The 16609-nt window shown below is 37.9% G+C and overlaps 1 long non-coding RNA gene across 7 annotated transcripts in view; it reads left to right on the top strand.

The window, feature by feature from the left end:
* The window catches only part of LOC124905213 (uncharacterized), a 275363-nt gene that overhangs the window by 217097 nt on the left and 41657 nt on the right, over positions 1-16609 (top strand). For 2 of the 7 annotated variants that reach the window (XR_007068322.1, XR_007068326.1), the window contains exon 5: positions 6794-14044. The exons of 3 other annotated variants lie outside the window; for them this stretch is intronic. This is a non-coding gene — a long non-coding RNA (uncharacterized LOC124905213). Of the gene's footprint in view, positions 1-945; positions 4772-6793; positions 14045-16609 lie in introns of those variants that run through there. 2 more of the 7 variants (XR_007068319.1, XR_007068317.1) reach the window with 2 other exon arrangements.

Raw genomic sequence — 16609 nt, 5'->3', positions numbered from 1 at the left:
GAAAAAGAATAGCAAAGTGGCTGGGAATCAGAAATAAGGAAATGTAAAGTATAAATTAGAAATTGGGGAGGACTCAGAGGAGGTGAACCTTGAATCACTTCTGAGCTGGAAGTGACAGAAAACTCAAGAAAGCTTAGAGGCAGGTGTGAGGTGGGAGAGTGATGGCAGCAGGCAGTCCCTTTGAAGAGTTAGGTGAGGAAGTCTTAGACAAACATGTAATCTAAAGTCATATGTGGTTAATATTCCAGTTAACAGTTTAAAAGCATATCTGCGACTACCTAAGCTAAGAAGTGGAGGAGAGAACATTTGTATTCACCTGGAGGCTTTCATTTTAAGCATTATGATGTGTGTGTGTGTGTGTGTGTGTGTGTGTGTGTGTGTGTGTGTGTGTGTGCGCGCGCGCGCGCTTCTGTGTGTCTAGAAATGTAAGTTAAATACTACCGTGTGTCTAAGATCAAATGTTTGACAAGAAAATGAGTTACACTGTGTAAGTATATGATGTCACCTCCATATATATAGCTAAATTTTGACAGATAGCTTCTCCTGGGGAAAATTGTGCCATCCACAGGCATCATGATCCTCATTTAATTGCTGTCTAATTTTTTTTTGAGACTAATTTTTACCTGCAGTTAGAAGTTGATATTATGTGCACCTGTGAGGTACCATTTGAGGCCCTCTGTTTTCCTAACCAACTGTGTGATACCATTTTTTGGAGTTGGCACCATTTAATAACATCCCCTCCAAAAGCAACTTTCAGCTAAATTTAAGGAAACCATGAAAGGTTCCTTACTTCAGGACATAGTCTTCTTTTACATATTGAAGAGGCTGGTTTAAGTCTCAGTCCACAAATTTAGGTTTTTATAGTTCAACTTCTGCTTGGGTTCCTAAACCCATAGGATGGCCAAACTCAATATCATTCTATGCAAGGATCTCTCCTTTCCCTAGGGTTGTATGCACTGGTGAGCCATCTGATCCTTAATGTCATCTACTAGGTAAGTTGCAGCTTTGATATCCCTCCACCTGTCCCCTTCAGCTCTAATGGCTCTCTTTGATACTTCCATGCTTCATCTGAGGACTTGGAAGTCATTCTGCACCTTCCTGGCCATAAGCAGGCACAGAAATTTATTTCCTTCTTCATTCCCCAAGGCTTTTGCCAGGAGGCAATTTGCAAAGACCCTCTTGCTGGGTTCCAGTTATGCCTATAGTCTCAAAATTTCTCTTTTTCTCCTATCCTCCTCAATAAACACATTCACTTTACTCTCTGTCCTCTCTAGTGCCCTCAGAACTTAATTTTTTGGACACCCAAACTGATCAACTCTTTTATTTCTGCTTTTGTTCAGTCATATCCCTCCCCGAGGCAATGAACACAAAATTGTGGAACTGATGGAATTGGGAAGGGAGTGGTGGTCATTGGGGTACGGAGTGGACTACTAGGAGAAAAAATCATTTCAAATAATATTATCCTGATCTAAAATCTAAATGATTTAAAATCATCATCATCACCAACACCACCACCATTATCAACATCATCATCAGTATTCTTTGTTACCTAAATACTCCTCTTGACCTATTATGTGCAGTTTGAGTTACTTCTCCAGTAATAAAATTAAGCTTTTCTGCAGCTAATCATACCATTTTTATTCCCTGGAGCTGCTGGGATTCTGGGATTTGGCACCAGGGGCAGTCTGTTGCCTGGAAACTAGGCAGAGCACCCCATAGCCAAACTGTCCGTATCCTCTCCCCGTTTAGTGTCAAGTACAGTCATTACTCTGCATAAAGATGTTGTTTACTAAATTCATTTTTAAGGGGTACTATGATTTAAATGTTTGTCCCCTCCAAAATTCATGTTGAAATTTAATTGCCATTGTGACAGTATTGGGATATGTGACCTTTAAGAGGTGTTTAATCATGATGGCTCCTTCCTCATGAATGAACTAATGCCATTATCACAGGAGTGGGTTTGCTATTGTTATCACAGGAATTAGTTTGCTCCTCCTTGATCTCTTTCTTTTTTTGGCCCTTGCACCATGTGACGCCTTCTGCCATGTTATTATGCAGCAAGAAGGCCCTCACCAGAAGCTGGCACCTTTATATTGGACTTTCCAGAACCGTGAGCCAATACATTTCTGTTCATTATAAAATACCCAGTTTGTGGTATTCCGTTACAGCAGCAAAAAACAAAAACAAAAACAAAACAAAACAAAACAAAACCAAACAAAAAACTAAGACATCCTGAAACAGCAGTGTGTGTACTTCTTGGCTTTTATGAAATTGCTAGTTAGAAGTCCAGATATTGCAAATATTTTCAAATCTTAATACTTCAGATGGCAAATTGTGTATATACACATAGAAGTGTTCACATAGGGAGGAGCGTCAAGAAGGCATGCAAACAACAGATAGAGAGAAATGAATCAATTAGTCTAGTATAGGGGCCAATGGAAATATTCAATTTCAAAAAAACCAATAAGTACTCAAATTATGGGTAAGAGCAACAGAAAGAAACTGATACCCGGAGGGATAAAATTGGAAGCTTGGCTTTGTTTTCAATAAGAGACAGAGGTTAGTAGGACAAGAGAGAAAACAACAGCAAATGTTAATTCAAAGCTCATTTCCCCTTCCTTGCCTTCCTCTCACCCTAGCTCCTTGTCCCATGGTGAGAAATAATGATCAGGTTCCACACTTGGAAGAATGGGTAATGGGAAGCATGGTGAGAGGAAATGACTTTCTCAGCTAATTGTCAGCAGTAGTTGAAGGACCCACAACTGGTGTCTCTCTGGGTACTCTCGCATGCCTGCTTCCAAAGCAGACTCTGGTTGGTTAACTTAGCTGGTCAAAACCCTGTGGCAATAGAACCAAGGTAGTGGGTTTCTTCTAATTTGGGTCTCATGGCTTAACTCTGTTCCCCAGCTACAGATGGAACCCAGGGCATAAGCTTTAACCTTATGTATAGTCTCAGCCTGAGCCTAGCCTTAATCCCAGAAAAAAACTCAAACCTGGTCACAGGTAGAACCCTATCATTGGCCAGAGGCTGAGGTCCTAATCCTGATCATAGGCTGACCTCTAATCCTTGTCATAGGTTGAGCTCTTAAACCCAGCCATAGGTTGAGCCCCTGACCTTGGCTAGCTACCTCAGATATATGTATTATGGGGCATCAAAGGGATCAGGAAAGAAGGTAAAGATGTTGTAGTGTATCTCCATTATTTCTACTAAGAAAAGGAACTTACTCTATTAATAGGACATGAGTAACCTATTTTCCTGTGATAACAAATGATATATACATGTTTTTATTTACTAGAAGCCACAGGGAGAAGCTTGCTGGAGTGAGAATATGGGAACTATTGCCTCTAACTTTGAGGATAGAATTTAGGATAGATGTGATAAAATCTCTTTGAAAATGTATCTGCCATTTTATTTCTTTTGTTAAAAAGACAGCACTGGTGTTTGTTTTGCTCCACTCTCTCATGTTTAAGATACCAAGGGCAATGCCATGACAGCAATTTATGAAAATGCACCTAGTACTTAAAGCCCATTTCTCTCCTGAATCCTTTACCTCATTGACACACCAAAGCATCTAAAGTCTCCAACATTTGAATCACTTCTTTGGGTTTTGACATGGGTAGCTTCTATTTTATTGCAGATCTTATTTGGGTTATTTCCCATATATAGATAATGATAATTAAAATACATTTAGAAAATGAGTCTATTCTGAGTAACCAAAATAAACTGTTTCCAGCGTTCAAATCAGTCCAAAAGTTGGTTGGTAAAGTGTACAAGAGTTTTAAATACAAACTGGAAAAATAACACTTACAATGGAGTAAATCTTACTTGATAGTTAAAAAATATTTAATGCAAGTCTGAAATTTTGCCTCAAACATCCATACAAGTATAGGGAGAAGTTGGTAGCTAACATTAGTTACCTAAAAGGCAGTCGTATCAAAAGCAGGGGAAGATTGGGTGACTCTCCACTTCCAGGCAGTAATTGATCCTAGGTAACTGATCAAAGTTTGCTAGAAGGTAGAGTATTTCACATATGCTGCCCAGAGACAAACTTCTGACCTGCTTGAAATTTCTAGTTGAAAATGTATATATCCTTGCAAATATTTTCAAACCTTAACACTTCTGATTATAAGGTACTCCTATCTATTAGGGAAGCATGATATGTGGATTGCTGTAAAAGATGGCGGTACTATAGAAGGCTACTACATATGTAACAAACCTGCACGTTGTGCACATGTACCCTAGAACTTAAAGTATAATAAAAAATAAAAATAAAAAATATATGTCTTCAATCTCTCCCTCTTTTCTTATCAGTTTTTAATCAATCTCAAGTTGCCTTCTTACTGTAAAACACAACAAAAATAATCCTTCAATCCCATATTGTGCTTCTTAGCCAAAATTTATCAAATAGGGTGAGCTTACCATCTATACTTCCTCAGCTGCACTTAGTTTTTACTTTAAACTTTATTGAAGTGTAATTTACATACAATAAAATGCACACATTTTAAGTGTACATTTAATGAGTTCTGAAGAATTCATAAACCTATGTACCCATCATCACAATCATGCTATAGAACACTTTCATCACCCCAAAAGTCAATTGCCTCTTCCTAGTTAATTTTCTACCTCTCAGCCCCAGAAAAACTCTAATATTCTTTTTGTTGCTATAGATTAATGTTTTTTGGGGGGGGGAACCCCAGAAAAACTCTAATATTCTTTTTGTTGCTATAGATTAATTTTTTTGGGGGGGGGGGCAGGTTACTATCAATCGAGTATAATGTGTACCTTACAATTTTTAATTTATTTTCTTTTCAGATAATTTTTATTCCTCTTGATTGGGGTATAATTGACACATAAAAATTACATAAATTTAAGATGTGCAACATGATGATTTGGTATGCATACACATTGTGCTCAGAGTTACCTTTTTTGTGGTAAGAGTACTTCAGATCTACTGTCTTAGCAAATTTAAATGTAATCACCATGCATTACATTAGATCTTCAGAACTTATTTGTCTTATAACTGAAAGTTTGTACCCTTTGGCTAACATCTCCCTCTTCCCTCCCCTCACTCCTGCCCCCAGCATTTGGCAACCACCATTCTACTCTCTGCTTCTGTGAGTTCAACTTTTTTAGACATATTAGTGAGACCATACAATATTCGTCTTTCTGTGTTTGGCTTACATCACTTAGCATAATGTTCTCCAGAGTCATCCAAATTGTCACAAATGACAGAATTTTCTTCTTTTTTTGAGGCTGACTAATATTCTGCTACACAAACACACACACACACACACACACACACACAATATATATACCAAATTTTCTTTATCCATTCATCCACCAATGGACACTTTGATTGTTTCCGTATCTTGACTATTGTGAATAATGCTGTGATAAACATAGGAGTATAGATATTGCTACAAAATATCAATTTAATTTCCTTAGAAAATATATGCAGAAGTGGGATTGTTGGATCATATGGTAGTTATATTTTTAATTTTTAAGGAATTTTCATACTGTTTTCCATAATGTTTGTACCAATTTACACTCCCACCCACAATTTACAAGAGTTCCCTTTTCTTCACAACAACATTCTTTATATCTTGTCTTTTTGATACTGGTCATTCTAACTGGGATAAGAAAATATATCACTATGGTTTTGATTTGCATTTCTCTAATGATTAGTAATGTTGAGCATCTTTTCATATACCTATTGGCCATTTGTATGTCTTCTTTGGAAAAATGTCTCTTCAGGTTCTTTGCCTATCTCCTAATTGGGTTATTTGGGGACTTTTTTGGCTATTGAGTTTTATGAGTTAGCATTTTTTTTATTCTTATATATCTGACTTTCACAAAGCGTAACATTTTTGAGATTCATCCATGTCACGGTGTATATCAGTAGATTGTTTGCAGATGCCCTTTATTGGGTTATAGAAATTCCCTTCTGCAAAACTTGCCAAAATTTTTTGGGGGAATGGATGTTAGATTTTGTCCAGTGTGTTTTCGGTACCTTTTAAGATGATCATATGGTTTTTTAGCCTATTAATATGATGAGTTATTTTGATTGATTTTCAAATACTAAACTAACCTTGTAATAATAGGATAACTATTGAGCCACTTGGTCATGATGTAGTATCCCTTTATACATTGTTGAGTTTGCGCCATCAAATTTTGTTAAGAACATATCTGTTCATGATGGATATTGGTCTATAGTTTTCTTTTCTTGTAATGTCTTTGTTATATTTTGGTAACAGTAATGCTGGCCTTATAGAATGTGTTGGAAATATTTCTTCCTTTTTAATTTTCAAGAAGAGTCTGTATTGAATTTAAATGTTTGATAGAATTCTTTAGTGAAACCATCTGGGCCTGGAGTTTTCTTTCTGGGCAAGTTTTAAACTATAAATTCAATTTAAAAAATAGATATAGGGCTTTTTAGGTTATCTATCCTTGAGTAATAATAGTATCTGTTTGAGCCGTTTTGAGTAGTTTCTTTCTTGTAAGAAATTTGTCAGTTTCATCTGCTGTAATATTTATTAGCCAAAGTTGTTTATAATATTAATAGCTTTTTAATAATTGTAGAATTGGTAGTGATGTTACCACTCTCATTCCTGATATTGATAATTTGTTTCTTCTCATTTTTCCTATACAGCCTGGCTATATATTTATCAATTTTATTGATTTTCTCAAAGAACCAGTTTTTGACTTCACTGATTTTTCTCTATTGTTTTTCTTTATTTATTTCATAGATTTCAACTCTGATTTTTATTATTTCATTTCTTCTGTTTATTTTAGGTTACATTTGCTTTTTTTCTAGTTTCATAGATGGAAGACATTTCTTATACTCAAATATATTTATTTAGTGCTATAAATCTCCTGGTAAGTACCATATTAGCTGCATCCTACAAGTGTTTATAAGCTGTGTTTTTATTGTTATTAAATTCAAAATACTTTCTATTTTCCCTTTTGATGTTTTAATTATTCATGATTTATAAGTGTGTTGTTTAGTTTCCAAAAAAATTGCAATTTTCCAGAGGTTTTTCTGCTATTGATTTGTAACTTAATTTCATTGTGATCAAAGAATATTCTTTATGTGACTTAAATAATTTTAAATTTATTGAGACTTGTTTTATGGCCCAGATTATTGTCTATCATGATAAAATGTTCCATGTATACTTGAACAGAATGTGTATTCTTCTGTTGTTGGGTGGAATGTCCTATGCTGATTATATGTTATTATTTCTTATCTATCCTTGCTGATATTCTGCCTGGTAGTTCTATATCAGTTGCTGAGAAGTAGATATTATAGATCCCAACTATAATTAAAGATCACATCATTTGTTTCCTATCTCTCAATAAATATTGTTGTTTGTTGCTTGATGTTCAGTGTCTGAAAACTATTGTTTCATATATTTTGTCCCTTTTTGTTAGTTCCATGTATACTTGAACAGAATATGTATTTTTCTGTTGTTGGGTGGGATGTCCTATGCTGATTATATGTTATTATTTCTTCTCTATCTTTGCTGATATTCTGTTTAGTAGTTTTATCAGTTGCTGAGAGGGAGATATTATAGATCCCAACTATAATTAAAGATCATTTATTGCCTTTATCTCAGTAAATATTGTTTTTTGTTGCTTGATGCTTAGTGTCTGAAAACTATTGTTTCATATATTTTGTTCCTTTTTGTTAGTTGTTTCAGGCAGGGGAGTAAGCTTAGTCCCTGCTATTCCATCTTGGCCAGAAGTGGAAGTTCCACAAACATTTATTTTTAAACATGTTCAAATTTCGCTTTCATACTCATGCTACTTGAAACTGCCCTTACAGGGGTCACCAAGAACTTTTTGTTGACAAATTGAATGGATCATTTCCAATTCTCTTATTTACCTCTTGGAAGCATTTGACTCTGTTTATAGGACTTTGATCTCAGAATAGTTTCTACCTTTGACTTCTGCAAAAATTACATATCTTGGTTTTTCTCCAAGCTTTCTGGCAACTTTTCTCAATCTACTTAATTATTTCATTTTCTTCTACTTGTCTCTTTAATTTCAGTATTTTTCACAAATATTAATTGAACTTCCCCTGGATGCTAGATGCAGTGCCAAGTGTTACAGGGTCCTCAAACTCAGTACACATCAAACCAAAATCATCTTTCCTCACTTCTTACCCTGACCTTATTTTCCTATGTTTCTTATCTCAATAAGTGCTATCCAGTGGTCCTACCTGGAAACTTGGGAATAATCCTTCATTTTTCCCTCTCCTTCACTATGCCCACCTTACATTCATGCCTGATAACAGGGAGTGATGTCTATAAAATATTACCAGGGCAAGGCAATCTGAATGGAGGGAGGGGCAACCCTGACTAAACTACATATCAGTACAAGTTCTATGTAAAGGTTTTTATCTTTTCCACCCTTGATGGGGAGACTAAATAGTGTTTCTCACTGGAGCCTCTACTCACTCTCAGCAGTCCCATTCCCATTCAATCAGTCCTCAAGTCTTTTAGGTTGTACTTATTTAATACCTTTGAAACTGTCCACTTTCTACTGTCTCCCTGGATACCTCCTTAGTTTGGCACTAATGGCCAAGGCTACCACTCTAAACTAAACTACCATTCTCTCTTGCCTTAACTACTATAGAGCCTCCTAAGTGATCTCCCTACTTCTACTCTTATCCTACTTTTCTCCCAATCCATTCTCAATTCAGTAGCCAAAACTGTCCTTAAAAAAATGAAAATCAAATCATAGCATTATCTGCTTTAAAGCCTTATTACTCTTCTTTGCTCTTGCTTTGTAAATAAAATCAACACTCCATATCAGGGTCGATAAAGCCCTGCAGGATCTTGACAGTGCCTATCTCTCCAGTTTCATCTCTTGCCATTCCCAGATGGTCACCACTTTGTCTAGATAATTTCTACTCATCCTTAAGATTCCATCTCAAGTGCCACTTCTTCCATGAAGACTACTCACTCCCTGATATGGTTTGGATTTGTATCCCTGCCCAAATCTCATGTCAAATTGTAATCCCCCGTGTTGGGAGTAGGGCCTGATGGGAGGTGATTGGATCATGGAGGCGGTTTCTAATGGTTTAGCACCATCCCCCTAGTGCCATCATGAGATTTGGTTGTTTAAAAGCATATAATATCTCCCCCCTTGCTCTCTTTCTCCTGCTCCAGCCATGTAAAATGTGCCTGCATCTCTTTTACTTTCTGCCGTGATTGTAAGTTTCCTGAGACTTTCCCAGGCATGCTTCCTGTACAGCCTGTAGAACCATAAACCAATTAAATCTCTCTTTTTTTAAAATAAATTACCCAGTTTCAGGTATTTCTTTACAGCAGTGTGAGACCAGACTAATTGCATAAGTAAAAGGAAGGCAAGTACTAATTGCCAAGACAATGGGGAAAAGGCCCAGAAGGCTTTTCAGAGTCCTCCACAGCAGGCCCTCCTATCACAGGCCCTGAGGCCTAGGAGGGAAGAACAGTCCCTTAGGACACTGCTCCTGGCATCCTGGCAGCTCCAACTCTGGCTGTGGCTCAAATGGGCCCAGGTACTCTGGCTGTTGCTTCAGAGGGTGTAAATCGTTAAGCTTTGGTGACTTCCATGTGGTGTTAAGCCTGCAGGTGCACAGAGTGCAAGAGTTGAGGCTTGGGAACCTTCACCTAGATTTCAGAAGATGTATGGAAAAGCCTGAATGTCCCAGCAAAAGTCTGCTGCTAAGGTGGAGCCTTCATGGAGAACCTCTACTTGGGCAGTACAGAAAGGAAATGTGGGGTTGGAGCCCCCTCACAAAGTCCTCACTGGGGTACTGCCTAGTGGAGCTGTGAGAAGAGGGCCACTATCCTCCAGACCCCAGAATGATAGATCCACCAACAACTTGTACTGTGTGCCTGGAAAAGTCACAGGCACCCAACACCAGCCCTTGAGAGCAGCTGTGGTGGCTGATCCCTGTAGAGCTACAGGGGTGGAGTTTCCAAGGCCTTGGGGGTCCACTCCTTGCATCAGTGTGACCTGGATGTGAGACATGGAATTAAAGGAGATTATTTTGGAGCTTTAAGATTTAATGACTGCCCTGCTGGTTTTGGACTTGCATGGGGCCTGTAATACCTTTCTTGAGACCAATTTCTCCCTTTTGGAAAGGGAATATTTACCCATTTCCTGTATCCCCATTGTAGAAGGGACTTGCCCTGTCTCAGGTGAGACTTTGGAATTTTGAGTTAATTGTGGTATAACTTAAGACTTTGGGGGACTGTTGTGAAGGCCTGATAGTATTTTGAAATGTGAGAAGGAAATGATATTTTGGAGGGGCCAGGGGCAGAATGATATGGCTTGGATTTTTGTCCCCACCCAAATCCCGTGGTTAATTGTAATTTCCAATGTTAGAGGTGGGGCCTGGTTGGAGGTAATTGGATCATGGAGGCAGTTTCTAATGGTTTAGCACCATCTCTCTAGTGCTATCATGAGATATGGTTGTTTAAAAGGATGTAGCACCTCCCCTCTTGCTCTCTTCCTGCTCTAGCCATGTAAGATGTGCCTGCCTCCTTTGCCTTCTGCCATGATTGTAAGTTTCCTGAGGCCTCTGCAGACATGCTTCCTGTACAGCCTGTGGAAGCATGAGCCAATTAAACCACTTTTCTTTATAAATTACCAAGTTTCGTTTATTTCTTTATAGCAGTGCATGAACAAACTAATATACTCCTTAAAGTTGGTTTTGGTGACTCTCCTCTGCCGTCTTGTAGCACCCTTGACTTACCCGTATTTCAGCACTCATCATAAATTAATTATAATTGCCTGCTTAGTTAATTGCCTCTCTAGCTTGATTGTGAACTCCTTGAAAGCAAGGACTCTTTTTTTTTTTTTTTTTCTTATCATTATATTCTCAATGGTGAGCATGATTTCTAGCACATAACATTTTAGGGACATATGAATAAATGCAAATTTAGCCTACATTTTAAGAGGAGGTAGTATTTTAAGTGTGTTCCAAAACTACACCAAGATCGCCCTCAGATTCTCTTCTCTATTCCTGAGGGTGGTGCAGATGAAGAAGAGAGTACTTCCTTTGGAGTGATCAGGGAAGGCTTCACAGGGAAGTGGAATTTGAGGTAGATTTAGAAAAACAGATACGACTTTTGCTAGGTGATTGTGGAGAAAGCATTTTTAAACCCCAGGAACAGTATGAGCAAAGACATAGAGGTAAGGTTGATTGTACATTGAATGTTTGGGGTAGAGCTAATAGTTTAGTGTCATTAGGAGAGAGGATTGATATAGGCATGTAAAGGGAGACAAATATAGAAAGCTAGGTAGGGGCCCTGAGGTAGGATACTTTGAATGGCATGCTAAAGGGTATGGATTTGATTTCATGGGCTCTGAGGAGTATTTTTCTTATATTTATCATGCATTAAAGACTTATTAATCATGTAAAAGGATTGGACTATCTTGAAAACACAATATGTTTTTTTTTTCCTGAGAATATATCTTAGAAATGGTATTATAAATAAGGGACTAAAAATGATTTACTTTACAAACGTGTATTTTTGCAGACAACATTTTGGGTGTGCATAATTTTCTTTAAATGACATGAAATTGAAATACATATTAAATTCAAAACAAATGATTTTTAAAAGTATTCATTGTTTGGACTGTCCTTGCCATGGCTTGCTTTTTTGCAGATGTAATTGACAATTAACTACACATTAAATAGACAGACTATCAGCCTGACTCATGATGTCTTGCCCCCTGCCAAACACCTTGAATTATGGTTGTAATTCTTGGAATCAAATGTAGTAATCAACGATATCAGTTGTTGGCTGTATATGAGTTAGTGGGGTGGTGATGGTGGGAGAAGATGAATCACTGGGCTATAAAGCAGAACTGAATTCTAGTCTTGCTCTGACACTAGCTGTGTGATTTTGGAGGAGTCACTTCACTTCTTTGTACTTAAATTTCCCCAACTGCAAAATAAACATTTAACTCTAACATTGTGTGTGATTTTTTATTTGTCAACATTACTCAACCTAAACATCTTTATTTGCTGAGAGAAAATACTCTTTCTCACACCATTTTGTTTCTAGTGAGTTACTCCTACGATCACTTGGCCAACTTATTTGGTTCTGATTAGTAGAAACAAAACAAAAAAAATGAAATCATTTTGCTTCACATAGCACTTTATCAAAAATGGCTCAAGTCAGTTCCTAAGATAGCTGATCTGTATTTGGAAGCTTTGTCTCAATCTCCTCATTCCTTCCTCCCTTCATTCGCTGTATTGAGTGATCTAACCCACTATTGCAAAATACTGCTCAAACCTATGTCTCTTAGTTTTGGCCTCTCTTTTGAAATTTGGATTTGAACTTCCAACTGCTTATAGAATATTTTCACTTAGATATATCCTGCAGTCACCTCAAACTCAAACTTCCAAAATGAACTCCTCATCTCCAAAAAATAACAATGACAAAATGAACAAAAACCAAATGCAGTTATCTTATTGTTCCCTAACTCAGTTACATGAAACATGTAACTTAAAATTACCTGTGATTCCTTTGTCTCCCTAATGCAGAATCCCTAAACCTAATCAATTACAGATATCTTACATCTCTCACTTCTTTCCTCTCCTTTCATCTCCTATTGCCACTGCTCTCAAGCAGACGTCAGTCTTTTTTACTCTACTCTGTGGCAGCAGCCCCCCAAATGGCTCTACTCTTTCCACTTCTATCTGCATTTCATATTCCCATTAGAATAATCTTTCTAAAGCATAGCTGTCATCATGTCACTCTCCCCCTCAACTGCCACTGTCTCCATTCTCATTGCCTACAGGATAAAACACAAATGGTTCTGCTTGGCATCTGAAACCCTCTACAATTTGGCCCAGGCTACCCCCTCAAGCTTATGTCCTCAGGCAGGCTATGCTCTATATTTGAAACATATACTATTCTTTGTCACTCTTATACCTTTGTTCATGCACATATTTCCTTCTGCCTGTAATGTATTTCTATCACTGCCTGGTAAAACCTTGCTCATCCTTCAGTTGGTTGTGTGTGCTGTTCTTCGAATATTTTGTGATTCTTGATTATTACGTTTCCTTTATTGATGAGATTTCCTGCCAGATTGGTGCCTCTGTTTATGCAGTTCCCTGGGAGGTGCCTGTTGGGGCTTGTGCCCTCTTTACAGTGAGAGTAGAAGATGGATAGAGATGCTTTTAATGTGTCAATGGGTAGGATATTTTAACATTTGGCAATCAGGACATGGTCACTCCCCTTTCCTTCCAGAAGTCATCAGCCTCTGGGGACACTATTCTCTCTCCCTGACTCAAGCACTGCTTCTGCCTGAAGACAGATAACCCCATTGCTGTTGCCTGACTCACAGTGGGGATAGAGCAGGGGAATGCACAGAGGTTAGCCAGTGTGTCTACTACAATCACTTCAGTGACCCTTTTAATCTCCTTGTTGGCTTCTTCTATGCCACACCCTTGTCAGATTTCATGACCTCCAAGTGTGAAGCACCCTTTGTGTAACTTCTACCCTTTGTGAAAACAGATCCTGGTACCTAATCTGTGCATGTCATAGGCTGCTGTTTTCCTATTTAGTTTGATTTGTTGGTTTTCAGTTTTGCAGAGATTCCTCAGATTTTAGTCCCCTAATGATGTATCTTCTTGATTTTGAGTCTAGTATTTATCTCTCTCTCTCTCTTTTTCTCTTTCTCCCTCTCATTTTAGCTTTGGCGGAGAAAATGGTATGGAGTCAGAAGGTAGGAAAACTATCATGTGTATTTAGTCTGCCATTTGAAACCAGAAATATTAATTATTCTCCAGATCTCTGTGCAACATGACTTACTCCATAAAGTCATTTGAATTACTCTTTCCCTTGCCATTCTTCCACCATATTCAATGAAAACAGAGAAAAAATTCATATGAGAACTGCTGAAAAGAAATATGACATTAAATATGTATTCCCAACTAAAAAGTAACTCTCAATAAAATTGGAATTATTGGATAGTTCTTAAAATGACTTAAAAAGGCTTAAAATGACTGTATAAAATATACAAGTATATGGGTGTGTGTGTGTATATGTGTATATATGTGTGTGTGTGTGTGTGTGTGTGTGTATAACTGATATGGTTTGGCTGTGTCCCCACCCAAATCTCATCTTGAATTGTAGCTCCCATAATTTCCACTAGTGGAAGGGACCTGGTGGGAGATAATTGAATCATGGGGGCAGTTTCCTGCATACTGTTCTCATGGTAGTAAATAAGTCTCATGAGATCAGATGGATTTATAAGGGGAAAACCCTTTTTCTTCGCTCTCATTCTCTCTTGCCTGCTACCATGTAAGTTGTGCATTTTGCCTTCTGCCATGATTGTGTGGCCTCTCTCCCAAGACAATAGGAAAAATGTCTCCAGGGCATGTCAGAGGTTTTCACAGCAGCCCCTCCCATCACAGGCCTGGAGGCATAGGAGGAAAAAATGGTTTCATGGGCCAGGCCCAGGACTCCCCTGCTGTGTACTTGGTGCCCTGCATCCCAGCTGCTCCAACTGTGAGTAAAAGGAGCCAAGGTACAACTCAGGCTATGGCTTCAGAGGGTGCAAGCCCCAAGCCTTGGCAGCTTCCACATGGTTTTTAGCCTGTGGGTGCACAGAAGTCAAGAATTGAGGTTTGGAAACCTCTGCCTAGATTTCAGAAGATGTATGGAAATGCCTGGATGTCCAGGCAGAAGTTTGCTGCAGTGGTGGGGCCCTCATGGAGAACCTCTGCTAGGGCACTGCAGAAGGGAAATATGGGGTTGAAGCCCCCACACAGAGTCCCCACTGGGACAATACCTAGTGGAGCTGTGAGAAGAGGGCCACCATCCTCCAGACCCCAGAATGGTAGATCCACCAGCAGCTTGCGCAGTGTGCCTGGAAAAGGTGCAGACACTCAATGCCAGCCTGTGAAAGCAGCCAGGAAGGAGATCATTTTGGAGCTTTAAGATTTGACTGCCCTGCTGAATTTTGGACTTGTATGGGGCCTGAAGTCCCTTCATTTTGGCCAATTTCTCCCATTTGGGATGAGTACATTTACCCAGTGCCTGTACCCCCATTGTATCTAGGAAGTAACTAACTCGATTTTGAATTTACAGCTCATAAACAAAGGGAACTTGCCTTGTCTCAGATGAGACTTTGTACTGTGGACTTTTGAGTTAATGCTGAAATGAGTTTAGAATTTGGGGGACTGTTGGGAAGGCATGATTCATTGTAAAATGTGAGAACATGAAATTTATGAGGGGCCAGGGGCAGAATGATATGGTTTGCCTGTGTCCCCACCCAAATCTCATCTTGAATTGTGGCTCCCATAATTCCCACTTGTTGTGGGAGGGACTCGGTGGGAGATAATTGAATCATGGGTGTAGTTTTCCCCATACTGTTCTTGTTGTAGTGAATGAGTCTCATGAGATTTGATGATTTTATAAGGGGTTTCCTTTTTCACTTGTCTCTCACCATTTAAGCTGTGCCTTTCACCTTCTGCCATGATTGTGAGGCCTCCCCAGCCACATGGAAATGTGAGTCAGTTAAACCTCTTTTTATTTATAAATTACCCAGTCTCAGGTATGTCTTTATCAGTACAGTGAAAATGGACTAATACAATAACCAAAAGCCAAAATCATGTTAAATGGTGAAACACTAACTTTTAGTAGTGAAAGACTTCTATGAAAGGCAGGAAGATGGTAAGAATTAACTTTATTCTAGAGGTTTTAGTCAGTACAATTAGATAAGCCAAAGAAGTAGGAAGTATAAAAACTGGAAAGGAGGAAGCCAAATTATCAAATTTTTACTGGTATGATTAAATATCTAGAAAACACAAGAGAATCAAGTTAAAAATATAGTACATAGTAAGATAATTCAGACTTCTCAGAACAAAATTAATATATACAACTGAAAAGTATCAAATATATGCTTGTATAATAAAATAATCCCTTTTGCAAGTGTAAGAAAAATGGTAATGGCCTAGAAATAGATTTATCAGCAATGTACAAGATCTTTTAGAAGAAAAATTGGAACACAACGAGGAGGAATCTAATTGGAGACTTGAACCAATGGAAAACCTATATCATATTCTTGGGTTTGAACACTGAATATCATAAATGTGAATTTGACAATTTTAATATTATCTGAATAAGAATAACTATAGAAAACTAAAGTTCACATAGAAAATTAAACATGCAAGTATAGTGTGGAAAAACCTGGAAAAATTTATTAGTGGGGAGCTGTCCCTATCAATCTTAAAATATCATAGAACTATAGTAATTAAAACTTTAAGATATTGGCACAAAACAGACACACAAATCAATGCAAAAGTATAGATTAATCCAAAAATAGACCCAAATATATAGAGGAAATTCATATATAACAAAGATAATATTTCAAATCAGAGGAGAAAAGATGGATTATTCAACAAGTGGTATTGGGTCACCTGGGTAGCTATCTGGTGATGATTTGGGGTAGCCAAAAATAAGGTTGGATTCTTCCTTCTATCTATGCCAAGTGAACACAGTTACCAGCATAGGTTATATCCCCAGTAATGTTAACTGCCATAAGAGATGTCTACAATCAGAGCCATGATACACTTATTATGTTTACCAGTAACTGCCA

The sequence above is a fragment of the Homo sapiens genome, chromosome X (genome assembly GCF_000001405.40).
Source record: "Homo sapiens chromosome X, GRCh38.p14 Primary Assembly".
In the NCBI taxonomy this organism is placed as follows: Eukaryota; Metazoa; Chordata; class Mammalia; order Primates; family Hominidae; genus Homo; species Homo sapiens.
The sequence above is the reverse complement of the archived record's forward strand: the minus strand, read 5'-3'. Positions and strand labels throughout refer to the sequence as shown.